Source organism: Homo sapiens, chromosome 17 (genome assembly GCF_000001405.40).
Source record: "Homo sapiens chromosome 17, GRCh38.p14 Primary Assembly".
Taxonomy (NCBI): Eukaryota; Metazoa; Chordata; class Mammalia; order Primates; family Hominidae; genus Homo; species Homo sapiens.
In genome coordinates this window covers 38,705,033-38,730,073 of record NC_000017.11, presented here as the reverse complement: position 1 = coordinate 38,730,073, position 25,041 = coordinate 38,705,033, and the positions used below count along the sequence as shown (strand labels likewise).

The 25,041-nt window shown below is 56.8% G+C and overlaps 1 protein-coding gene, 2 long non-coding RNA genes and 1 other non-coding gene across 4 annotated transcripts, besides 4 other annotated features; 2 read left to right on the top strand and 2 right to left on the bottom strand.

The window, feature by feature from the left end:
* Nucleotides 1–278: 278 nt before the first annotated feature.
* MLLT6 (MLLT6, PHD finger containing) lies at nt 279–24,801 on the bottom strand. The gene is made up of 20 exons (NM_005937.4): nt 24,333–24,801; nt 23,045–23,124; nt 22,534–22,588; nt 22,202–22,311; nt 20,798–20,901; nt 20,499–20,592; nt 18,060–18,227; nt 17,285–17,383; nt 14,246–14,462; nt 13,093–13,707; nt 12,461–12,642; nt 12,121–12,229; nt 10,491–10,557; nt 10,179–10,324; nt 9,505–9,702; nt 9,327–9,415; nt 7,847–8,196; nt 7,306–7,396; nt 5,098–5,454; nt 279–4,517 (listed from the first exon to the last, which is right to left on the bottom strand). Exons 1-20 carry the CDS (start codon nt 24,439–24,441, stop codon nt 4,476–4,478), a joined length of 3,282 nt encoding a protein of 1,093 aa, NP_005928.2. The 5' UTR covers nt 24,442–24,801; the 3' UTR covers nt 279–4,475.
* Nucleotides 1,114–1,336: an enhancer, noted in NCBI's record as "control region 19, which was negatively scoring by a predictive classifier". NCBI's record gives its function as "activates a minimal c-fos promoter by transgenic reporter assays in zebrafish embryonic heart {active_cell/tissue: heart(embryonic)}" and the evidence as "EXISTENCE:transgenic organism evidence [ECO:0001131][PMID:20075146]".
* Nucleotides 3,725–4,416: an enhancer, noted in NCBI's record as "H3K4me1 hESC enhancer chr17:36881911-36882602 (GRCh37/hg19 assembly coordinates)". NCBI's record gives its function as "activates a minimal SCP1, AML or CMV promoter by ChIP-STARR-seq in primed H9 embryonic stem cells {active_cell/tissue: H9 hESC(primed)}" and the evidence as "EXISTENCE:reporter gene assay evidence [ECO:0000049][PMID:30033119]".
* LOC105371762 (uncharacterized) lies at nt 9,755–10,986 on the top strand. The gene is made up of 2 exons (XR_934735.3): nt 9,755–9,834; nt 10,807–10,986. It is a non-coding gene; the product is annotated as an uncharacterized LOC105371762 (long non-coding RNA).
* On the bottom strand, nt 10,326–10,383 carry MIR4726 (microRNA 4726). Its single transcript, NR_039879.1, has one exon. It is a non-coding gene; the product is annotated as a microRNA 4726 (primary transcript).
* Nucleotides 12,029–12,688: an enhancer, noted in NCBI's record as "H3K4me1 hESC enhancer chr17:36873639-36874298 (GRCh37/hg19 assembly coordinates)". NCBI's record gives its function as "activates a minimal SCP1, AML or CMV promoter by ChIP-STARR-seq in primed H9 embryonic stem cells {active_cell/tissue: H9 hESC(primed)}" and the evidence as "EXISTENCE:reporter gene assay evidence [ECO:0000049][PMID:30033119]".
* Nucleotides 12,689–13,348: an enhancer, noted in NCBI's record as "H3K27ac-H3K4me1 hESC enhancer chr17:36872979-36873638 (GRCh37/hg19 assembly coordinates)". NCBI's record gives its function as "activates a minimal SCP1, AML or CMV promoter by ChIP-STARR-seq in primed H9 embryonic stem cells {active_cell/tissue: H9 hESC(primed)}" and the evidence as "EXISTENCE:reporter gene assay evidence [ECO:0000049][PMID:30033119]".
* Nucleotides 14,407–15,934, top strand: LOC124903993 (uncharacterized). Its single transcript, XR_007065742.1, has 2 exons — nt 14,407–14,496; nt 14,716–15,934. It is a non-coding gene; the product is annotated as an uncharacterized LOC124903993 (long non-coding RNA).
* Nucleotides 24,802–25,041: the final 240 nt, after the last annotated feature.

Below are 25,041 nucleotides of genomic sequence, written 5' to 3'. Positions count from 1 at the left end.
CCCTCCCAGGAGTCGCTGTTGCTGGCCGAGCCTAGGCCGCGCTTCTGGGAGCAAGCGCGCGGGCGTCGCGTCACCTCGGGACGGGTCAGGGTCCCGACGGCCGGGGCCCACGGACTGATGCACCCTGCGTGGTGGGCCCGGGTGTGCTGAGCGTCTGTGCGCTCTCTGCCGCTGAGTGCGGACAGAAGGGCCGCAGCCCACGCCCTCCTACACCCCCGCAGTTGGCACCCACCTCCTGTCCCCTTCCATAAAGCGAGACTACGCAGGGGCTCTTCGGATTTTTTTTTTTTTTTTTGCAAAACATTCTTTTATTAAAAGAACAAGTGCTGTTTACGAACTGCCCTTCGTACAAATAACATCCGTTATACAAAGATACAAGATCCGGGTTATGCACAATTCCAGGCTTGGAGGTGGCAGGGGGGCATCGCCTTTGGGCTGAGGATATCAAGGTTTTAGAAAGAATGAAAAAGGAGCCCCTGGGTTTGCAATCTGTGGCTTCCCCTCCCTGCTCCCTAGGAAGGGTCTGCTACATGGAAACAGGTTGGGATAGAAAGGGGGCGGGACGGGAGCAGGGGTGAGGTCTCCAGTCCCACCACCCAAGTCCCAAGTTGAGCTGGAGAAAGTGAACAAAGGGGAATGAAGGCACCCCTCAGTTCCCAACTTTTCAGTAGGTCAAGACAAAGTGGTCGGGAGCTAGACACACTCTCAATCCTGATGGACATGGTGGGAGAGAGCCAAGGCTACTTGCCCACCTTCCTTGGAATTCCCAGTTGAAGTTACCTCAATCCCTCTAGGCACCTCTCCCCAGGAAAATAAGTTGAGATAAAGGAGAACTGGGTGCAAGCTGCCTACCCCTAACTGGCCCATTGCACACCAAGGAAGATCCTAGAAGCTGGCAGGGGGAGCCTGTGCCTTTGAAAACCTGTCTTCATTTCCAATTTGGGAGAGAGAAGCGTGGAGGTTACCCTTTCTCGGAGCTGGCCCCTGGCTTGGGCTCCTCTCATTTCTCTAGACCCTTCCTAAGAGTCTGGGGTGAGCACCTCCCTAGAACTCAGTATGGGGGAAACAGGCAGGGGTCCCCTCATCAGCCTCAAGGTCAGGACACCTTGAGGCAGCAGCAGACCCAGGAGCCTGAGGGGGAAAATACCCCACAAATAGGAAAAACAAACCAAGACAATCCTTAAAGTGTCATTGTCCATGGAGAGGATCCACCAGCTCTGAGCTAAGACAGTCAGTGCCACATAGACACCCTCCCACCCCGGGCACAGCCCTGCACTCACACCGTGTGTCACACACACACAGGGACAGCCAGCCAGCCAGCCATGTGGAGACCATGTTGTGGGGCAGGGGAACCAAGGGCCAGGAGGCCACAGTCCTGAGGGCTTGTCCTGGCCCTGTCACTGAGCCCCTTCTAGGCTTGGAGCTGTCATCTGTGATGGGAGGAGCTGGCTGAAATGACCCCTAAAGACAGGTCCCTTTGGCGCTGGCATGCACCAGTTGTGACCCCACAGCAGGCACTGCCTCTATATGCACCCCCACTCACACCTCCTCACTGAGGGTGGGAACACCCAACTCCACATGCTCACCCACTCACACCTCCTCACTGAGGGTGGGAACACACGAAGCTCTGCTCTCATGCGTTTCCAAACTCTGCTTCCGCTCTGCAAACCACATCCTTCCCCTCCCCCAGACAAAGAGATCTACAAATCTGGGTCCCTTCCCACCCTCCACCATTCACTCTCAAAAAAGGGACTGAGGTTAGGAGACGGTGAGATCGTTACAGCCATCCCCCTGCGTTGGTATTCTGCTCCTCCTGAAGCTTTCGAGACCTTTCCCATTGAAGCTCCCTGAGAAGGAAATGCCACTACCTCTCTCATGAGAGATGTGGGGGGGAAGAGGAGAAGAGGGCTGCACCCGTTCATACCCAGCCTGGGCCCCGTCTTCAAATCTAACCTAACCGCCACAGTAGTCCAGTCTGGGGAATGCAAGCGGCTTGGGAAAGTTGGAGAACAGCCACTTGGAGATGAGAACCCCAGCCTTTGGTTTGGGCTGAGGGAGGGAAGAAGTGTTCTGGGTGGGGTGTCTTGGTTTCAATGCACAGAATCACTTGGACCTCTCACTCTTCAACATGGCAACCTCGGGGTAGACTTACTTCTCTTCCCATCCAGACAAAAGTTAAGTTTCGCTCTAAGTGGGCCAGCCTTGGGCAAGGGCGTGGGTGTGAATGAGCAACTCTTCTAAGAATCTCTGAAGGTTACTTTTCTTTTTTTTTCTCTTTTGAGACAGAGTCTCACTCTCTCACACAGGCTGGAGTGCAGTGGCACAATCTTGGCTCACTGCAGCCTCAGCCTCCTGGGTTCAAGCAATTCTCGTGCCTCAGCCTCCCAAGTAGCTGGGATTACAGGCACGTGCCACCATGCCCGGCTAATTTTTGATAGAGACGGGGTTTCACCATGTTGGCCAGGCTGGTCTTGAACTCCTGACCTTAAGTGATCCGCCCGCCTCAGCCTCCCAAAGTGTTGGGATTACAGGCGTGAGCCACCGCGCCTGGCCTGAAGGTTACTTTTCTTTTCAGTGGTTTGGGGCAGGGAGTTACACAGCTTAATAGATTAAGAAGAATAAAATGCTGAATGCTATCATTTCTTTCTAACATATTTAGCATTAATAAAAAGTGAGTATTTCTGAGGTCATCACAACTGCCTCCCCCTCCCCCAAGCCCTTGCAAGTGCCTAAGAAATTGCCTTTGAAGGATTCCCACCCCCCTCCATTATCAGCTCCCTAACATCTTACAAAGTCTTATCAACAGGAATATTAATATTATTTTCAGTATCAGAAAAAAAAAACAGTTGAGCAGCACAGGCAAAAATATATCTGCACTACGTTTCTGTCGTTGCCAAAAATATACACATCTTCTTTTCTTTATTAAAAAAAAAAAAAAAACCCAACAACAAAAACCCAAACAGAAACACACACAGAAAAATCCACACATGCAAAGAGACTGACAAGGCCGGAGCCTGGGGAAGCTGGAAACCCCTACCCTGGGCTCCAACCCCAGTGCAACTGAAACAGGGACACAGGCTTCGCCTTGCCTCTCGCCTCTCTCCTGACTGTCCACTCAGCCTCTGTGCCAAAGGCCTGGGCAGGCGGGGACTCTTTGAAGGTGAGAATTGCCCACTCTACCCTGGGGAAATAGCTGGTGGGTGAGGGGACAGTTGTTAGTCAGCTTAGTGGCTCCCCTGGTTGGTGGGGGTGGGGTGCAGGAGGCAAGCTGGCTAATTCTGGGAGGGAGGCTTTTGCTAAAAGCAGTGGCATTTCCCCCCACCTTACGCCCTCCCCCAAGCCCTGGGGCTCCCCTTGTGCCAGAGAAGGAGGAAGCTATCAGTGGGGTAGGGGGCCCTAAGGGGGCCCTGAGACCATGTGGGGTCAGGGGAGGGAAGGCAGGATACTACCCTGATTCAAAGCCCTGTGCCCCCAGCGACTCTCCAATATTGGAGTACTGCTCTGGTGTTTGTTAACCATTCATGCCCCCAGAGAGGGACCAAAGTTGGTGAGGTGGGGAGGGTGCAAATAAGAGCTGGGAGGTCCCCTCTCTGGCGCTGCTTCATCTGACCACTGCGCCTATCCCTGCCCTTGGCTGCCCTGGGTCCAGGAGGAGAGAGACAGGCAGACAGACACACACACACACACACACACACACACACATGCACGCACACACACACTCACACACTGAGACGGGCAGCTCCATCTCCCCACCCTCGGCACTCCTAAGTCCAATAGTGCAAACAAAGGGCGGGGCACCAAGGAAGGCCAGAGCCTCCCCGCACCTGCCCTCTCCTCCCCATCACGGGGCCCCAAGAGGTTGAGGAGGCTGGGGCTGAGTGTGATGCTCTCCTGCCCCTTCTCCAGCCCCCAACATCTGTGGGCTTTTACAAGCTCAGCTTGTGCCCCTGCGCTGGGGGGAGGGATGGCGAGAAAAAGTCCAAGGGGTCCCTTCTGCCATCTGCCCGAGCTGGGAAGAAACTGCAGGTAAAGTGGGTCCAGCCCTTCTTCCATAAAAGATTTCCCCGCAGGGACAGGCCCAGGGCCTCTCCCTCCACTTCTCCCCATTCAAGTGCTGATCCATTTCATGTGACAGGTCCAACCAACCCCCTACTTCTGCCATGGCCCACTCTGCTCTCTGGGGGGACCTCCAAAACATTTGCTGGGGATGGACCTCCTAGGCGGGCTTGCAGACTGTCCTTCCTCTGAGCCTCACAAAGCGGACAGTGCGGAAAGGGAAGGGGGCCAGATGGAGGGGGCTCCCCTCTCAGTCTCAGTCCTCGACACCAGGAGCTCTCCACACTCCCTGGACCTCAGCACAGGCTCTGGGTCAAGGCTCTCCAGGGTCTGGGCGCAGGCGCCTGCTCCAGGCTAGGACCCCTCAGGCCAGGATCTGTTCCCTCCACTTGGGGGGGTCAGGAGGGGTAAGGGTGGATTTAGCCTTTTTCCTGGTTGGCTGAGGCTCCTTTGTCAGCGGTCTGGAAAGAGAGGGAGGGAGGCCGGGGGTGTGGAAAGTGTCAGGTCCTAACCCCCAGATAAGAACAGCTTCCTAGGCCAAGAAAGCTGCTGTGGGGTACTGAAACGGGGCCAATGGAAGCCTCTGGCCTGGGCTCTGAGGGGTGTGCACCAGGGCCGATGCGCAGGGGTGTGAAACCACCCTGCAGAAGAGCACCGGGCTGCGTGGGCATGTGCAAGCTAAGGCCGTGTGCCCTCAGGAGAGGGAGAGGGCCTTTCTGACATTGGCCTACCCAGAGGGTCATCTTTTTCTAATTGGTCGGATGAGAAACAAAATGGCTTTTTCTAATTGGTCCTCCCGGAGGAAGGCTGTTTTCTAATTGGTCCTTTTCCTCTGAGCCCATGCTCAGATCGGATCTTTCTTGGCCGTGCAGGAGGGCACCCATGTGCAAGCAGAGGCCCTGGGGTCTGAGGCAGGGTACTTTGCTGACCTAGGGGTTGCTTCCTTCCCCCTGCTGAGGTACCTGATGATAAGCCTTCTGACAATCCATCTCTACCCATCCCTCAGAGGGGAGGCAGGAAGGCCCCGGGCCCCTTACTCACCCCTCCTTTGGGGCCACCGCCACTGCCCTCTGCTCCCGACAGGCTGAGGAAGGGGTTGGTCTGGGCAGTGAGGACTGGAGGTCCGCCTGCTGCTGCTACTGCTGCAGCTGCAGCTGCTGCGGCCATGAGACTTGTGTTGTTGCCAAGCGAGGGAGCCACTAGGGCTCCAGCGGGCAGCAGGGGTGGAGCAGACGCTGTGGGCAGCAGGCCAGGGGTACCCGCAGACAGCAGCGGGGTGGAGCTTCCTGCCAGCAGGCTGGCCATGGGCAGCTGGGAGCCCCCAGCCATCTGCAGGCGCTGCAGCTCCCGTTTCTGCTGGATCTGCTGGATCATCTGGTAGACAACAGTCTGGTGTTCCTGCAAGGGGGCCAGACCGCTTGTTGGCCAACAGTCCCGGGGGTCTCTTCCCTGCTGCCTGCCTGCCCTGCCTGGCCAGGCCCCACCCCATCACACTGGAATCAGGAGGCAAGAGGCCTGTGAGACAGTCAAGGTACTGTCTCGCATTTCCCACTTAGCCTGGGTCTCCCCATCTAGACAAGAAAATGGTTGCACGCCATTGGTATTTGCCAGCTGCAGCACTGCCGGCCAACAGCAGGGTATTTAATATCTCTGGCCCTGCCCACAGAATCACCCCTCAGCTCCTAAGACAACCACAGACGCCCCCAAGTTGAAAAACACTAAACTAGGTCAATAGTTTTCTTTTCTTTTCTTTTCTTTTTGTGAGACGGAGTCTTGCTCTGTCACCCAGGCTGGAGTACAGTGGTGCGATATTGGCTGACTGCAACCTCCACCTCCTGGGTTCAAGCGATTCTCCTGCCTCAGCCTCCCAGGTAGCTGGATTACAGGGGCCTGCCACCACATCCGGCTAATTTTTGTATTTTTAGTAGAGACGGGGTTTCGCCAAAACTACTGACTAGGTCAATAGTTTTCAATTCGCCGGACACGGTGGCTCACGCCTATAATCCCAGCACTTTGGGAGGCTGAGGCCGGTGGATCACTTGAGGTCAGGAGTTTGAGACCAGCCTGGCCAACATGGTGAAACCCCATCTCTACTAAAGATACAAAAATTAGCTGGGCATGGTGGCATGCACCTGTAATCCCAGCTACTTGGGAGGCTGAGGCAAGAGAATCCCTTGAACCCGGGAGGCGGAGGTTGCAGTGAGCCGATATCATGCCATTGCACTCCAGCCTGGGCAACAAGAGTGAAACTCTGTCTCAAAAAAAAAAAAAAAAAGTTTTCAATTCCCTTTCTCTTTTGTTTTGTTTGCTTCTATCATTTAAGATTCATTTATTTTGCTTTGAATAGGCAAAGCATTCTTAATGTCCCAGAAACCAAAATAATATATCAAAGTTTACCTTAAGAACTTACTCCTCTTGCTCCCATCTGGTCCCTACAGGCAGCCAGCTGAATTGGTTTCCTGTCTAATATTTCTTTATATGAAAATGTTGATTTTTCTTATTTTTTCAACTCCCTGTTTTGTTTTTGAGACAGGGTCTCATTCTGTCACCCAGGCTGGAGTGTATTGGCGCCATCTCAGCTCACTGCAGCCTCCACCTCCCCAGTTCAAGCGATTCTCCTGCCTCAGGCTCCCAAGTAGCTGGGACTACAGGCGTGCACCACCACGCCCAGCTAATTTTTTGTAGAGACTCAGTTTCACCAAGTTGCCCAGGCTGATCTCAAACTCCTGAGCTCAAGCGATCTGCCTGCCTCAGTCTTCCGTGCTTGGATTACAGACATGAGCCACCACACCCGGCTGCTTCCCTCATTTTTAAAAAGTAAAACTCCTTTTCTCCAAAGGTAGTTTCAGCCGACCCAACAGGAGACAGACCCAAAGAAGCTGCTGTGGTTGAGGGTGGTGTCACCTGCACAGCCACTCAGACCCTGGAGTTTCCCCTGAATGCCTTTGGGGCTGGGACTGAAATGCTGAATAACTGAGGACTTGCTGCCCTCCAGAGTCTTTCACCAGGATGCGACCTGGGGCTATTACAGCAGCCCTTTCTCAATGCCCAGGGGATCCTGGGCATGATCTTATCCCCCTTACCTGCCATGGATGCTCCACAGGGCCCAGCCCCAGTCCCACAGGCCCAGCCTAGAGCTTCCCCTCACTCTGCCTGCTCCTGCCCTCTCCTGGCTGGCCCTGATCCTCTGAGATGTGCCCTTCCAGGCAGACCAAGGGGCACCTGAGGCAGGGAAGGGAGGGGCATTACCGGGGTCAGCTGCGGGGAGGCCAGGAGCTGCTGGAGTTGCTGGAGCTGCTGCTCTTGCTGCTGAAGGAGATGTCTCTGCTGCTCTGTAAGGCTGAGGTGGGGGTGGGGGGTGGGGGGGGGACAACACACAGACCATGGGGGAGGGCCAGGGAAACACTCCTGCTCCTAATCCCAAGCCCCTAGACTCCCTCAGACCCAGGGGAAGCAAGGCAGGGATGTGCGATCTTAGAGCACCGTGCTCATAGGGTGCAGCAAGAGGGATACAGGTCTGATTTAGAAGAACTGTCCCAGAAGGAAATCCTAGAGTGCAGGACAGGAAGTCAACAATTCTTTTGTCCCTGGGGAGCTACCGTCCAGAGGACACACATGTCTAACAGTCTGTGGAGTCCTTAGAGGCCAAGAGGTGACTAGGATTATATACCCTGTGAGACCAGAGGCCATTTTTCCTTTTAGGGATTGTGGGTGTTTTGGGGAAAATCCCTCCCTTCCCAGAGCCAGCCCCCCACCCTGTTCCCCTTCCCAGGGCTGAGCTCTCCCTCACCTGTTGAGACAGCCTGGCAGCTGCAGCGTGGGGGCCCCGCCAGCCTGGCTCAAGCTTGCGGGGTTGGGGGCAGCGGCCCCATTCAACCCCCCAAGGAGCCCATTGAGGGGCAGGCCCCCACTGCCTGCCAGCCCCCCCAACAGCCCCTCAGCCATGGGCATGGCCCCCAGCCCCGCTGCCCCGGGTGCCCGGCCCAACCCGTTCTGCGGCTGGGGCGGGAGTGGGGCAGGGGCCCCAGGCAGGGCCAGGGGCAGAGTGGCAGGGCTCTGCTGGAGGAGGGGCAGCGGTGGGGGCGTGCTGTGGAAGGACAGCGACGAGCTGCTGCGGCTCGGGCAGCCTGAGTGTGGGTCCTGGGGAGGGAGGGGGAAGGGAGGGGTCAGAGGGCCAGCATGACTTTTCTGGCCCCTGGCCCAGCACCCACCAGCATTCTCACAGAGCACAGCAACCCCCACTTCACCCCCAGGCACCCTGGAAGAAGCAAGGTCCGGGGATGAGGGCTAAGAATCCAAATTGTCTTCACGAATCATGTTTCCTGACCCCTTCCTGGGAGTCCAGCGCCCCTCATCATCCTCATTTAATAATGGACAATGATGATGGTGGTGACCATCTGGTGAACCAGATCCTGGGCTGAGGGCTTGACCTGTGCTATCTTGCTATTCTCATTTTATGGGTGAAGCCATTGATTCTTGCACAGGTTAAGTAACTCTGCAGGCAAAAGCACTACAGCTAAAGTGAAAGGCTCAGGTTCAAATCCTATGTCCACAATCCAATGGCTTGGGTGACCTTGGGTTCAACCTGTCTTAGTTTACTCACTCGTAAGCTGGGGGGTAACAGTAGTACCTATTCCATAGGCTTACTATGAAGACTAAATGAATGCTTTAAAAAATTTTTGCATAGGGCATGACAAAGGGCAAGTGTGCAATTAATGCTGGTTATTATTATGATTATTACTGCCCAAGTCACACAGTTAATAAATGGCAGAGAGAGAACAAGAACCCAGTTTGTTGGATTCCAGTAATAACCACAACACAATAGCAACTGCTATTCGAACCGCCACCAGTTACACAGGAATTATTTTGTGTGAGGCGCTATAATAAACCCTTCACAAATACTTCTCAAAGAGGCCTTCCCTAACCACTTTCTATCCACAGAAGCAGCCCTCCCCCGTTCTCTCTCTCACAGCCCTCAATTTCTCTCCACACTAACATATCTCCCAGTTTGTGATTACTCCTTCTTTGCTTGGGGTAGCCTATCTTAAGAAGCAGCGCTGTGCCGGTTTTGCTCACTGATTGCTTAGCCAATGGCTGGCACTAAGTGGGCACCTCATAAATATTACTTGATTAAGGGAGGACTGAATGGATCAATCAATTGCTCAGTCAGTCACTTCATTGCCCAGCCTCCAATAGCTGCGGGGAAGAGATGGGACCAGGAGAGCCTTGAGTCTCCCCCTCCTTCCTGCCCCACTCCTCGTAGCGCCCACCTCAGAAGAAGTGGACAGCGAGTTGTCCAGGCCGAGGCTGCTCTTTCCCGGAGGGCTCTTGCTGGTGCTCAAGGAGTCGCTGCTGCCGGCTGTGGGAGGGATGTCACAGGCTGCAGTCAGGGCCAGTCCGGACTTCAGGGCACGGGCCTCTCTCCCGGGCTGGGCAGGATCCCCTCACCTTGGGGAGGCAGGCCATAGGGCCCAGGGACAGGGCCGTTGGCGGCAGGCAGGGCAGCAGGCAGGGCAGGGAAGGGCACAGAGAGCTGCACGTTGAGAATCTGCAGCCGCTCCTTTTTGGCCGTCAGGCTCAGGATCTGCTCTTGCAGCCGCTGGTTCTCCTTCTGCAGCGCGTGCAGCGCCTTCAGCATCTCCACGACTGCGGAGAGAGCGAGGAACCTGAGGGAGGGGCGAGGGGGCGGAGGCGGGGCCAGGGGACCGGGGGCGGGGCCTGGAGGGGAGCCAGTGCTCAGCCCTTGAAAAGGCGGCGCCATCCTAAGGAGGGACACAGGTGAGCTCTGAGAAGAGAGGCGGGACTTGGGGAGCCACAGGTGTGAAGACCTGGGGCGGAGCCTGAGGCTGGGGTCGAGGCCACACGGGTCAGGAGAGAAGGGCGGAAGTTGCGGTTTGGTAAGGTCGGGGCCCGGAGGCCACGAAGGCCAAAGGTGGGGCGCTGAGGGACCAGGGCCGGTCGTGTGGCCTGGCAGGGATGGGAGGTGAGGCCCGGGGTGGCCGAGAGTCAAGGCTGGGGCGGGGCCTAAGGGCGGAACCTTAAAGAAGCTTGGGGACCTCGGGGAGAAAGGTGACTGTTAGGGCCCTAGGGCAGGCGTCCCGACCGGCGCCACCCCTCCTCACTGTTGACGCCGGCCTCCCCGTCGCCCTGCTTCTCCAGAAGCTGCTCCATGTTAGTCGTCCCTGGGGCCGCCGGGTCTAACTGGCCGCCCCCACAGGGTGCAGAGGCTGTCTGGTCGAAGAGTGCGGGGAGGCTGCTGATGGGGGACCTGCGGCCAGAGGGAACCTGGGTTCAGTCGACCCGACCACTCCAGGCTCCTCTGGCCCTTCTCCCGTATCCCCCAGGGGTTCCAGCCCACGCCGGTCTCTCCGTCCCTCCTCCCTCGGGTGTCCCTCCTGCCCCCAGCCCCTCCTCCAGGCTGCCCCTTCCCTCACATGGAAGACAGACTCTCCTGAGGGGAGGTCCCCCGACACCGGAAGCTGCAGTCCTCCAGGTCTGGCTCTTGGAAGAAGGGAAGGCTGGGATCAGCGTGGAGGAGTGGTAGCTGCCTCAGGGTCCCCGCCCCCAGATGGATATGGGATTGGGACCTCACCGCAGATCCCTTTCCCCAGGAATCCCCAACCCCACACTGGCAGTTCAAGGCCAGCGCTGAGGGCCCTGGCTTGGAAACCCTGCCCCTGGGAGGCAAACCCCGGGCATCTGCTCTCTTCCTCCTCTGGGCTGAAGGCTCCACTGTCTGGCTTCTTTCAGATCCACCGCCCAATTCCTTTCCTGGGATCTTCAGAGTTATAGAAATTTGAGGTCAAGACAGACCTGGATTGAACTTAAACCTGACATCAACTTTTGTGACCTTGGGCTCCTAACCAGCCTCTCCGAAGTGACTGTTATTAAGATTAAAAGAAGGTAATAAATGTGAAGTGTTTACCTGAAGGGTTTAGCTAGCATGTAGCAAGCCCTTAATGACTGCAGCTATTATCATAATTAGCTCTGTATGACTTTTTACATTCATCAGATCCCTTATCAGGAGGCAAAACTAAAACTCTTCCTTGGGCCACAGAATCCTGATCTGAGTTTTAACAAATATATCACCCTACTCTGTCGTTCTTAAACGTGGAATCATATTTGTCCCCTTTAAGGCTTACCTGAGTCGGCAGCCTGGCTGTAGGCCCCGCCTCCCAGCCTGACAGGTGGTCTCCCTGCACCAATTAGCTTTCTGGGGCTGGGCTGACTCTCCAGGGAGAGGGCGGGGCGCTTGTGACCCGCCCCCTTAACTCGTAAATACCCGGAGAGGTTGAGACCTCCGTAAGCGCTGATCCCAAGACACACTACGAAGCCAAGGGGAAGCACGCTACACCGGTGAAAGCACTGGGCTTGGAGTCAGGAGAACAGAATCTGAGCTTTAGGTCTGCCATTTCCTGCCTTGAGCAAGTCTTCCATCTCTGCCTTTTTCTTCTGTGAGATGGAGCAGTAACTTCCCTGCCCTGCCTTCTCGCTGGGTTCTAACTTGAAAGTGTACCCTGGTTTGCTGTGTGTGGATTTTTTTTTTTTTTAAGAGACAGGTTCTCCCTGTGTTGCCCAGGCTAGTCTCCTGAGTAGCTGGGATTACAGGCGGGAGCCACTACGCTGGGATTTTGTTTGTTTTGAGACGGAGTTTTGCTCTTATCGCCCAGGCTGGAGTGCAATGGAGCGATCTCGGCTCACTGCAACCTCCGCCTCCCACGTTCAAGCAATTCTCCTGCCTCAGCCTCCTGAGTAGCTGGGATTACAGGCGCCCACCACCACGCCCAGCTACTTTTTGTATTTTTAGTAGAGACGGGGTTTCACCATGTTGGCCAGGCTGGTCTCAAACTCCTGATCTCAGGTGATCCACCCGCCTCGGCCTCCCAAAGTGCTGGGATTACAGGCGTGAGCCACCACACCCGGCCTGTTTGTTTTTGCAGGGAGGGCAATGGCCAGAGGGAGGGGGCAGCCAGAAAGCTCTCCCATTCTTTCTGGGGTCACATGCAGGTGATGGGTGTCCGACCTTTGGGAAGAAAGGGGAGAGGGGATCAGATATTCACATACCTGTGTGGCTGCTCTCAGCTTGGGAGAGGAGGGGATTAACGGCACCCATGGGGGTTCCAAAGATGTGGGTAGAAGGGAGGCTAAAGGTAGAGCCAGCCAGAGAAAACACCTAAGGGAGGGAGGTAGAATCCCCTGGCGGTTATTCTTGGATCTAGAGCACAACTGTGTGTACCGGGGTGCAGGGGGCCGGGTGTGCTGGGGAGCAGAGGGGTCCAGAGCCCGGAGGGTGGTCTGATGGCAACTCAGCCCAGTTGCTCCAATTCCCATGGAAGGCTGGGGTCCTCTGTCAGTCTGTCCCCAACCTGCCCAGGGAAGGAGGAGCCCAGGAGTCAGGTCTCACCTGAGTGGTGGAGATAGAAGCAGAAGAGGAGGGGAGGGTGCTGGTGAACGGGGAGCGGCTGAGGCGGGGCAGGGCCGAGGTCCCTGGGGGCCCCAGGAGGCTGGAGGAGAGAGGGGTGCTGCAGACAGCCCGCAGCATCCCGCCACTGTGGGAGATGGGGTCCTTATTACTGGTGTAGATGCCTGCAGGCACAAGGACAGAGGGAAGCACGTGGTTACTCTCCACCCCAGACTCCTGCTCAGCCAGGTGGCTGACAGCCCCTCCCCAGCTCGAGTGCTCCCCGGGATCTGGCTACATGCCCCAGTCTAACCCTCTTGCTGCAAAGATGTCACTTCCTGCCTGGGTGACATCTGCTTGCTGCGCCTGCTTGTTAAACTGCCCTGCCGAGGGCTACAGAATTCCTAGCTTTTCTAATCTCCCTCCCAAAACTTGGTAAAACCTTCTGACAATCTGTCCCCAATCCTTTCTACTCCACGCATGCAGAGGGGGATGTCCTGAAGGTGACTGTCTCCTCCGTGCTCTATCTTTTGGAGTGGTATCCATCCCATTTCCTTCTAAGTGCATGTGTAAGCTCTGTTCCTCACTAGACTGGCTGGGCCCTGAAATGCCCTCTGTCCCCAGGGGTCACTAACCTGCCCCTAGTAAGGGGGACTCCAGGCTCAAGCTGGGCAAGCTCCCAGAAGGCCCAAAGGTTCGGGAGGACAGACCTCCCAGGCCGGAGCTGACCAGGGAACCTCCAGAGAAGGGTGAGGCAGCAGTGGCGGTAAAGCCAGCCAGCTGGGCACTGGGCAAGGATGGGGCAGCTGGGCCCCCAGTGCCCTCCTTGTTCCGGCTGCCCTTGGGACGGCCTGGCCCATGGCGGCTCCTCTTGCTGGCTTTGTGCTTCTTCTCCTTCAGGCCTGTCTCAGGGGTCTCATCAGCAGGCACAGGGGTGGCACTCAGTGCGGGCATCCGTTTGTGGGTGCCTGCCGAGGCCCCAGACCCCGTGACGTGGGGAGACTTATAGTCCCCAGGGGAGGGCGCCCGGGCCCGGCCTGAGCTGGAGGTGGTGGTGGAGAAGCGCATGATGGGCCCAAAGCCAGAGAAGACCACCTTCTGCTCAAAAAGGTCAGCCTTGGGGGGCTCGGGAGCTGAGGGAGAAGGAGGGGCTGAAGGGGCGGGGGCTGTGGGCTTGGAGTACTTGTCCTCCTCTGGCTGCTCCAGCTTGGGGAATGCAGAGAAGTCAGGGGAGCTCTGCAGGGACGAGACTGTGCACAGAGGGGAAACAGTTACAGCTGGACCCCAGATCCCCGCACTCCCTCCCACTCCCGCGTGTACTGGCGGGAGAGAGCTCTGGTCCACGAATGGGGATGCCTGGTTTCCTGTCTCAGCTCTGCCACTGTCTGTGTCCTGGGATGAGTACCCCCGACCCCTCCAGCTTTCCCACCTGTAATAAAATGGGGGAGAGTAACTCGCACCCTACTGGCCTCACCAGATGACTGTAGCGATTATAGGAGAAAATGTTAATGGGGGTTCTTGAAAAATTGTACCTTGCAGCACAAATGTAGGGGATAAGGAATACTGTTATGAGGTTGGTGGGGTGGCCCCTGAAGGGGAGAGGAGAGTTCTGGTTCAAGAAGGAAGGGTTTGGGGGCAGGTTTGGAGAGGAGGGGATTCCCCATCTTTATCCTGAACCAATGGAGAAGTAAATGAGATGCAAAACCAATATGCAAAGTCCCTTGCCAGAAAAGCTCAGGACAAAAGGCTTTCCCTGCTCCCAGCTTCCTCCCGGATGCCCACACTCACCTGCAGGCTGGAAGGGCCCCCCAGAGGAGGAGGAAGAGGAGGAGGAAGAAGAGGAGGCGGAGGTAAAACTGCTCACACCTTTCCCACTGCTCAGTTTCTTCCCTTTATGACTCAGGCTATGGCTGGAAGACTTTTTCCCCTTTGACTCCCTGCTGCTCTCAGAGGTCTCCTGCGTGCTGGCCTCGTGGTGGGAGGAAGAGGAAGCCGAGGAGGAGACCTGAAGGAGAGGAGAGAGGAAGGTTCAACACCAGGTGCCTGGGCCTGTGCTGATCCTGATGTGGGAGTGAAGCAGGAGGGCACAGGACCTAGCTCAACTGGGAGAGCCCACAGCTAGTTTCATGAAGGACTTCCGGGCAGGGAGTGGCCAGGAGCTCCTAGACCAGGGATATGGGGAGGCAGCTGTGGCACTCCTGGGTGTAAGGCAGAGGGGAATTCACTGAACCCAAGAAGGTGTCTGTCTTTCACCTTAGGCAGGGAAGATGGAAGCCAAGAGGGAGATGAAAACAGTCCCAGAGTCTGAAGAGATTTACTCATTGGTCCATTCATTCACTGAATACTTAGGGCGTCTAAGAAGGCGGGACCTATGCTGGAAGTGGCGAGGCAGAGAAGAGGACCCACAGGAGAATGGGCTTCTCTGGTGCCATCCTGGAGCCCTCCAGCTACTACCCCAAACTTCGGCCCCCTGGCTTTCCACCCATTCTCTGACCACCCCATGCTCTTCCTAGACAACCTGATTGCACACACTAAGCGTTTGCCAGGACAGCCTATCCTTACTCTTCCTGGGAAATCTCTCATCCTTTAAAATCCAGCTTGGAAGTCCCTCTTCCCTGAAGCCTCCCTAAATACCTCAGGTGGAACAAGACATTCTGTCCCCTTATTTCCAGAGAACTGTGCACACATGACCACATGTCAACAGCTGCCACTCTGCACTGAAATGTTCTGTCCTATCTGAGGCACCAGAAACCAAAGAGAGCGGCAGGGTGGTGGTTGAAGGAGCGTGGGCTCTAAGTCGGGCAGAGCAAGGTATGAGCCTGATGGGTTCTGCCCTTCACCGCCATGTTTTTGTTTTTTCTTAATTTATTTTTGAGATGGAGTTTCACTCTTGTTGCACAGGCTGGAGTGCAATGGTGCGATCTCGGCTCACTGCAACCTTCAATCACCTCCCAGGTTCAAGTGATTCTCCTGCCTCAGCCTCCCAAGTAGCTGGGATTACAGGCACCAGCCACCACACCCGGCTAATTTTGTGTATTTTTAATAGAGGCAGGGTTTCACCATGTTGGCCAGGCTGATCTCGAACCCCTGACCTCAGGTGATCCACCTGCCTCGGACTCCCAAAGTGCTGGGACTACAGGCGTGAGCCACCACGCCTGGCCTCACTGCCATGTTATACTGTGCAAAGTCTCAACGTCGATAAGTGTCAGTGTCTTTACAGGGAGCACTATGCATATGTGGTGAGTTGGAAGCAGCATGATGCCAGATACATGGTATAGGGTCAATAAATGATGAGACGTCCAGTGGCAGCAGCTGCAGAGACAGTGCTGTGGGCAGGTGAAGAGCACAAGCCTTCAAGCCAGACTGCATTGGAATCTCAGGTCTACCACTTTACTAGCTGTGTGCTTTTAGGCAAATTACTTAACCTCCCTGTGCCCCATCATCTTCATATATTAAATGGGGTTTATAAATTTCCAACCTAATTGGATTATTTTGAGTATTAAATGGACTAATCTCCATATGCCCCTCCATCTCCTGGTTCTAGAACACAGCCTGGCATGCCGTGAGTTCGTTCGTGCTTCAGGCTGCTGCCAGGGAAGGCCCTTTTCCTCCTAGTAGCGACCAGGTATTCAGTTAATCGTGCTGAACAGATAAATGCTGAATGCAGGCTGGACCAGAAACGAGAGCCACCCTGCACTGCCCCTCCCGGGCGGAGTCCTGGTCTCTGTCTTCCTCTTTGTTCTTTTCAACAGCTGGAGTTCTGAAGGGAGCCAGATGTGGTTCTGAGAGCAAGGGAAGAGAGGGGCTGGGGGGAAGGGTAGCCGAAGTGCTGGGGCGAGTGGAGGAGGATGGGCAGAGTTCTCTGGCATGTCCAAGGGACATCCAGTTACTGGAAAAACTCCCAGACCCCTGGCCATTTCTTGCCACCTGCCTGCAGGCCCCTGGAAAGGTCAGAGGGCATGAATGACAAGGTCTCCAGGTGAGCCCTGGGAAGCAGGGGAGAGGTTTACTGGGGCAGTTGCCACAGCAACATCACCCTGGAAACCTGATACCTGAACCTCCTGCTAAGGTGCCCAGAACTCTGCCAACCGTCTGAGATGGGGTGGAGGTGAATGGGCAATAATGGTGACAGGAGGGAGCAGTTTCTCCATCTCCCCCCACCCTACCAGGTTCTCCTCCCATGGGGAGGGCAGGTTGTAGGGAGCAGGGAGGGCTGTTCCAGCTTGGATTAGCAATTCCCTGGCCTAGGGTAGGGCCTGCCTATCGCTCAGCCAGATGTTGCCCATTTCTGGAGACAGGCCTGACATACCATGCCCTGCTGGGAATGGTGGGATGAGTGGGAGTTTCGGGATACTGTCCAGGGGCCTGCCCCCCATGCCACCTTGGTCAGAACTTTCAGCCCCTCCAACCTGCACAGAGTGGGATTTGGGTTGGGTGACAAGCTTTGGGTGTCCTCCTGATGGGGCGTAGGGGATGTCCTCTACCGATCTCTGGGGACAGGGGCCCTAGAACTTGGAGAGCAGGCCTGAGTGCCGTCCCCCACTCTCTGCAGACAAGAGCCCAGGGCTGAGGCCCTCTGGACAGAGGCAGATGGGAGTATCTGGCAGACAGCACCCCAAACTCCCAATCCCATGGTTGGTCGGTGATTGGTGGCCCCTTCTAGGCTGGAAGAAGGAGTAGAGGGTATGGGGTAGGAGGGGAGTGGCATTAACTTGAAGCTGTGGGGAGGGTGCCCAGGTCCCTGACTCACCAACCTCTCGCCCCCGCCTCCCTCCCTCTGCCACCCCAGACCCACACACCATCCCTCCTGAAGGTGGGCAGCAGTACCTTGTCAGCAGTGGGGACCACGGGCGGGGTGAGGATGCTGGGGGGCGACTCAGGCCGCTTCTTGTGCTTCTGCTTAAGGCGTTCTTTGTCCTTTCGACTCTGGAGAGGGAGAGGTGACTAGATATTGTGCTGGGGGGCTGTCTGGGCGAGGACAAACATGACATGTGGGTATGGGGAGCTGACACCCCCTTAGGGATGGGGTTTTGTGGGCACCATCTCTCCCTGAGGAGGGCTGGATAATGGGCTGGGCAGGAGCGATTCAGGCAAGTTCCTATGAGAGCCAACAGCCCTTCCCCCGGCCCCGCCTGCTAAAAATAGCCTGTCCCATTATCACGCCAGTGCTATAGAGCACCACGCGCGTGAACATAACACCTGCAAGGGTGTCCACCTGGGACACAGCTGCACAGAGGGACAGGAGCTGGGCACGCTGTGCTATGTGGCGCGAGGGAATGCAGGCATGAGCACTTACTAGGCGGCACATGGCTGGACTGCGGAGACGTGTGCAACGTGCAGAGCCATGTGTCTGGGGCCTGGGGGACACTGTGATGTCATGGGGAGGACCCAGAGGAACCACTAACACAGCCACAGGGAAGCCAAGCTCCCGCCTCACCCCCCCACCGTTTCATTTCAGCCCCCTCCTGCCCTCAGTGGCCTCAGAGGAAGGAAGAAGGCAGGGCCAAGACCTTAAGGGCACCTCATGATGGCTTTTTGAGCCATGTTTGTGAGTCTCCAAGTCCCCGTGTGGGAGTGATGGCAGGTGGGGGAGGACTTCTACCTTCTTCTGGCCCCTCTCGTGGTGGGTGGGGTGCTTCTCCTGCTGCGTGGATGGTGAGGCTGACCGGCTTCTCCTCCCAGAGATGAAACCACTGCCACCTCCCCCCATGCTGCCACCTCCTCCTCCAGCGCCTCCTCCGCCTCCCCCGCTGCTGTGCCGGGATGTCTTCTGCGGGAGAGATTTGAGAGAAATTGCAAACCCTCTTCTCACGGGCTTAGGGAACGCTTCCAGAAGGTTAGAGGATCCTGATCCTGGGGGTCAGCCCCATGTGCCCCGTCTGTCACTAAGAGGACCTCATGTCCTCTATGATGCTCTGCTCAGCAGAAGGGTGTTCCCCAGCCTGAAAATCCTAGAGTGTTCCAGCTGGCTCGCCCAATGTGCAGAGTCAACCACTGAGGCCCAGAAGAGGCAAGGATGCGTCTGGGCCCCAGCAAGGCCCAGGTGGAGGTGAGACTGGGGCCCGGGTCTTTCATTCTCTCCATGGTGCCCTCTTGGCTGACTGAGCCACGGCCCGTTTCTACCTCCTTCCCTGGAGCAGAGGGCGTGCAGGGGACCCTCGTGGGGAGCCAGTGCTCCCCTGCACTCCATATCCAATCCTCCCTCCAGACACTTGGCTCAGCTATCACCCTCTTCTCCTTTATCCTGGCCCCTCCCCTCCACCAAACACAGTGGTTGCTCCTGTCCCAAAGGATATGCTGCCCTTAACTTGAAGAAAGGGGGGAAGTTAAACATCAACACAACCCAAACAACCCACATGCTGCGTCTCCTCCCAGCCAGGGCCTGCCTCCCCCATCCCCTTCACTACAGACCCAGCCTGATGGCTCCACCCTCCCCGGGGTTATAGCTGCTCCCTCTAAGGTCACCAGCTACCTCCCAACTGCCAAACCCAAGGGCTAATTTCAGGCCTTATCTGACCAGTGGGCAGCTCCCCAGTGTTGGACACAGCTCCTACCTGCAGAGCCCCATACCCTGCAAGGCCCCCTCTTTCGTGGCCCGCCTGATCCATCCTTGTGGACAACCTGGGATTACGGCCCCAGCCTTATAAGCCTGGAGCTGCCACTACACCCTGCCCAGGAGTCTGACATCCACCAAATCTAAATGTCTCCACATGGTGTCTCCTGCAAACCAAGCCAAGCTCGCTACCTTGTCCTAAGCTATCATCAAACCCTGAAACCACGGTGACCACGTAACTTATGATCCAAACCTGGACACTTTCAAAAATGAAACAGGGGAACTAATAATAATTACACCAGGGCAACAGGTATAAACTGGGACTGTCTGGGGCAAATCAGGACATGTGTTCCCCCTACAGAAGCCAGCTGTACCCCTTGTTCATGGCACCCCCCAGGTATTCAAGCTCCATTTACCCAGTGTCTAGAGCCTAGATCCTAAATGTCACCCCCAACTCCTACTTCTCAGCCACTCCCACGATTAGGCAAGTCTCCCTAGAAATGGTTCTAGCATCCAGCCTCACCCCTCCATCCCCCTTCTTGCAGCTGTCTCCCGGCCACCAGCCTCAGCCCTTCTGATCTAGCCTCACAGCGGCTGCCAGGGTAATCTTCCTAAAAAACAAATCTGATCATGTTACTCTCCCGCTTACAGGCCTGACAAGCCTGTGGCTCGGGGGTAGATCCAAGCTGCAGCCAACTGCTCCAGAATACCTCACAGCTTCTGGGACACACGTCTCTCCACAAACACAGACACAGAGTAGCACCCTTTCCAGCCTCCCCCTGGACCCCTGAAGCCTGGGGCAGAGGCAAGCCCAGCTCGGGCTCTGCTTTCTCACTTCATCTCCTGCCTCTTCCCCACCAAACACCCCATTCTCCCGCTGCTCACCCATGCCCTTCCTCCTCTCAGGACTTTGTCCACGCTAGTCCCTCTGCCTGGGACTCGTTTCTCTGTTTGGCAGGCTCCTGAGGAGTTTTCAAATTAGGCTGCCCGTTCTAAATCCCATCTACCAGCTGCAAGATAAGTTATATGACCTCAGTGAGCCTTAGTTTACTCATCTGTAAAATGGGGAAAATATAGCACACCTAGTTCTTAGGGTTGGTGGGGGGACCACACAAAATAACACATGGCAGGAACTTTGTCCTAAGGCGGAGGCGTAGTAAATGCTGCCTCCCACACAAATGTTGGCTCTTACTTTGATTTCCACCTCCACTCAGCTTAAATGCTACCTCTTCCTTGAAGCCTCCTAGACTCTGACAGGCAGGGTCTGAGCTTTGTCTTTTGGGACAGACTGCTTGGTCTAGCTCTGATCCACACACCTGAAGCTGTACTTTATTCCTCATCGAATGAAGAGCTCCTCTTGGGCAGGGACTGGGTTTTTTCCCTCTCTGTCCTCCTAGCACCAGGCACTGGCCTGGCCCAGAGCCCATGCCCTCTAACCATCTTACCACAGCTGACTGACCCGCTCATGCGCTGGTCGCCAGGACTCACCATCTTGCTGAAGTGGTATTTGCAGTAGCCGCAGTACTTGACGTTGTCCACCTCCAGCACTTCTTCCTCACACAGCAAGCCTGCCATTTGGGCACTAACCAGAGAAGGCAGCCTGAGACGGCTGAGGCCACAGATCACATGAGCCACCTTCCTCTCACCCTCCTGGCCCCCTGCTGAGGCGAAGCCAAGACCATCCAAAGCATTGCCACCACCATCAAAGGGACAGCAGCTAGGATGAGCCTGATCAGTGGCCATCCAGGACAAACCCGGGGGGCAGGGGGGTGGGACAGGGGTCTCACCAGGTGACGTGGAAAGCTTGTCGACATCCATGGCGGTTACAGGTCATGCAGGCTCCCGAGGCCGCCTTGCTCTCCCGGCCCTGCTCCTCGCAGATGTAACAGGTCTGCAGGACACAGCGCAATCGTCCCCTCCTCCAGGGAGCCCCTGTTCTACTGATGGTCCTTAGGCCACCCCCTCCATTCCATTTGCTCTCTACAGTCTTAGATCAGTGCTATCCCACAGAACTGTCTGCAGTGATGAAAACGCTCTATGGTCTGCGCCGTCCAAGACAAATGCCACCAGTCACATGGGCTATAAGCACTTGAACTATGGCTAGCGTGACTGAGGAACTAGATTCTAAACTGTATTTAATTGTTGTTTATTTTTATTTATTTATTTGAGACGGAGTCTCCCTCTGTCGCCCAGGTTGGAGTGCAGTGGCACGATCTCGGCTCACTGCAACCTCCTCCGCCTCCTGGGTTCCAGGGATTCTCCTGCCTCAACCTCCCGAGTAGCTGGGACTGCAGGTGCCCACCACCATGCCCAGCTAATTTTTGTATTTTTCTAGAGATGGGGTCTCATCATGTTGACCAGGCCGGTCTCAAACTCCTGACCTTAGGTGATCCACCCCCCTCAGCCTCCCAAAGTCTGGGATTACAGGTGTGAGCCACCACACCCAGCCTGCTTTTAATTTTGATTAATTTATGTAGCCACGTGTGGCCGATGGCTACTATGCTGGGTAGCACAGTCCTTGGATGGTTAGCTCTGAAAGGCCAAGGCCTTTGTCTGTCTTGCTCACTAGGGAGCTTATGCCCACCTCTGTGCCTCTGCCCAGGCTTTCTTCTGCCTGGAACCTGGGGGCCCTTACCCTCCTGGAAGCTGGCTCCTTCTCACGCCCCAGGTCTCAGCCTAAATGTCTCCTTCCTTTACCATCTGGTCTAAAGTAAGCCCCCACCAGGTCTTTATTTTAGTGTCTTATTTTCTTCACAGCATTTATCACAAATTGCATTTACTTTGCCTTTTTACTGATATTTATAGTCTTCGCATGCAAGAACTTGCGTTCCATTGAGCGGGCAGCACACCTGTCTTGATCAGCACCGAACAGCGTGTGCCAGCTACCTTGCACCAGGTCTGGCACATAGTAGGCACTTAATAAAATGTGTCCAGCGAATGAATGAATGAAGTAACTGCGAAGGTCTACCCTCTGGCAGAACTACTGCAGGGGAGCCTACTATTTCACCTGAGTGCCAGAGCATGAGTGTGTCTGTCAACAGAAGGGTGGTTCACTGGTAGGTACCTACCCACCTCCCAAGTTCCCTTTCAGTGCTCGTTGGACAGAATCAAATTACACCGGATGAAGAGAGCGTTGGAGGAACCCATAGATGGGAGGGAACTGGTAGGGGACACGGCGGGGGGCCGCTGACCTTGTTGAAGCGATCATGAGGCACGTACTGCAGCACGATGGGCTCCATGGTGAGCACGTTGGCAAATTGCACCTCGGGGATGTAGAGGGCACACACCACGTGTGCCCAGCCTGGGGCAGTGTGGGGGTAGCCTCAGCTGCAGATGGCAAGCCGGAGACTCCACCCCTTATGACCCCACGCTGCAGACTGTTCCCTCCTCCACAGCCTTCCCATCAGATTCCAGCGCCAGCCAGGGAAAGGAAACCCGGCCTCCACCCCAACTCAGTCCATTCCTGCCTTCCCAGACCCTGCTCAGGGGGCCCTGCTGACCTCAGCAGATGAGCCCGCCTCACCTCCATTATCAGTCCTCTTCAATGCCCCGTCTTTGTGTGGGCACAGCTCACACCTCTGCCAATGCAAGAGTGCACAGGGGTTGGGGGATCTGCTGAGCTGGACCCTCCCTGAACACGTTCAAGGGGTCCCAGGCTGAAATGCTAAGCTCTAGGGTGGATGGATGGGGCTACAGTGGAAACAGGATTGGCCATGAGTTGGTAACTGTTGAAAATGAGGAAGGGGACATGAGATTCATTATAGTTTTCCCTTTACTTTCATATGAGTAGGAAACTTCCCATAATAAAAAAGTTCAAACAGACAAAAACCAAAGCCCCATGCCTGAGGTGGGGCAGAGGGAGGGATGAGCGTGAGGCAGAGATGAGGTTGGAGGTAGGTGTGCAGGAAACAGGAAGTCTGTGTGACAGAGCTAAATCCCACCCTAGCCTCGGCCTCAGAGTCCCCTAGCTCAACCTGAGACGCTCAGGTGTGTGGGAGGGGCAGGGGAGTGGAGAGGGGCAGTCTGGAACTCACCACCCTGGCTGCTCGCTCCTGAGATTCACATTTCCGGCAGAACCAGGGTCCCGTTGGCACCTGAACGATGCCATAGCAAGCTGAGGGTGGGGAGGACAGTCGCTGAGCAAAGCTGTCAGCCAGTGGCTTTTTCCCAGGGTAACTGGGGGAAGGCGGTGACTCCAAAGGACTAGAGCCAGTTCCAGCAGTGGGGGCTGCTCCCCAGTCTACGGGTCACTCACTCTACAGCAGGACTGCCCAACCGCCCAACACCAGCCTTCAACCACACAATTAAGCACTTCAAACAGGGCGGGAAGTCTGAGTCTTTGACCTTAAACTTCTAGAAGATCCTCCCCCCACGCCCTTTCTGGACTTGTTTCCCAGCTTCTTCCTCGGACCAGCCATCAGCATCAGAAATAGAGAAAACCAGAGGGGACAACAGTCACGACCGTCAAACACGTTTTGTTGTTGTGGGCGGGGGGATTTCTTAAAGGGCCAGTGAGGGACGAGGCGGAGAAGTAGGGGGTCTAGGGACCTCATCTTCTACCTCTAAGTATTCCAGAATCAGGTTAAAAGTCAAGGCTGAGGGCAGGTGCGGTGCTGGGAACCGAGAGGAGCGTGGCGGGAAGAGCCCCGGGCCACAGCATTCAGGGATGTCCCAGGAAGGGGGGGCCCGGCTGCCTGTGCCAGGCAGGCGGGAGATGCCAGCCTGCGCCCTCGGCAAGATTCCTCAAGGAGTTAACTCCCGAACCATGTGCTGCTGGGGGAAACTCCAAGCCTCCCTCTTCTCGATTCCGGCCCCCTGCACAACCTCTCTCCTATCCTTAGCTCTTCCCCGGCGGATTTTAGGAGTCCCTTCTCCCCTGGGACCCTTCTCTTCCCTTTCCAAGTCCGCTCCTCCCATTATCCGGAAGCGAGGGGGGATGACGCCCCCCCCTTGACCTCTTCCTCCAGGAGCCGGGACCAAAATAACCGGGCGGGAGGGGACACCTCGCAGGTAAACATTCCCCAGGCAGCCCCGACACCCGCGGTGTGGGGCGTGGGGAGTTCACTCATTGCTCCCTAGACTCTCCCCAAACTCCCTCAACTTAGGGTGGGGGGCGCGGAACTGGAACAATAGGCAAGAAAACAATGCCTGACCCGGTCTTCCAGGACCGGGCGGGGGGAGCTCCCCCTACGCCTCCCTTCCCTTCAGGTGGGGTGGGGGAGGGGCGCGCGAGCCCCAGGAGGTCTCCGGAGGGCGCGGCCGGGGGCGCCCCGCGCACGCCGCCCCCGGGGTCCCGCCGCCCCCCGCGGGCCACCCCCGTACCTTGGTGGACGGCCACGCTGCACGCGTGCCCATCGCAGTAGACCAGCGGGTTCTCGGCCCAGCCCCTCTCGTCCGAACATACGCAGCAGCCTCCTACCATCTCCTTCATACTCCCATGAGCTCCCTCCGGGGCTGGGGCGGGGGGCCGGCCGGCGGGGGTCGGGGGTCAGGGGGGAGGGAGGGAGCGGGGGGCCGCGCGCCTCCTCGCCCCCTCCTCCTCTCCCTCCGCCGCCGCCGCTTCTTTTCTTTGCCTCCTCCTTCCTCCTCCTCCGCGTCCTCCTCCTCCTCCTCCTCGCTCGCTCTGTCTGGCCGCCCCCCCCGCCGTGCTCTCGCCCTCATGCCCCGACGGGCCCCCCCCACAACAATGAGACTCGCACGCCGGGCTCGCCCCCTCCGCGCCGCTCGCCCGGCTCCTAGGGCCGCCCCGCCGCCGCGTAGCCCGAGCCCGGCGGGGGAGGCGCCGAGTGGCACATCGCGGGCGCCCGCCCGCCCCGCGCCGCCCCGCGCCACCCGCTCACGCGCCGCCCCCCCGGCCCCCCTGCCCGGCCGCGGCAGCCATGGCCGCGCGCCTCCGCTCGCTCGCTCCCGGCCCGCCCGCCGCCAGCCGCCGGGTAAAGTCTTAGGTTCAGGGAACAAAGCCTGGCTTGGTAGGGAGCTTTTCGCTCTTTCGCTCCGTGCTGCTTTGCCTGCTTTCTTTTTCGTTTCACGG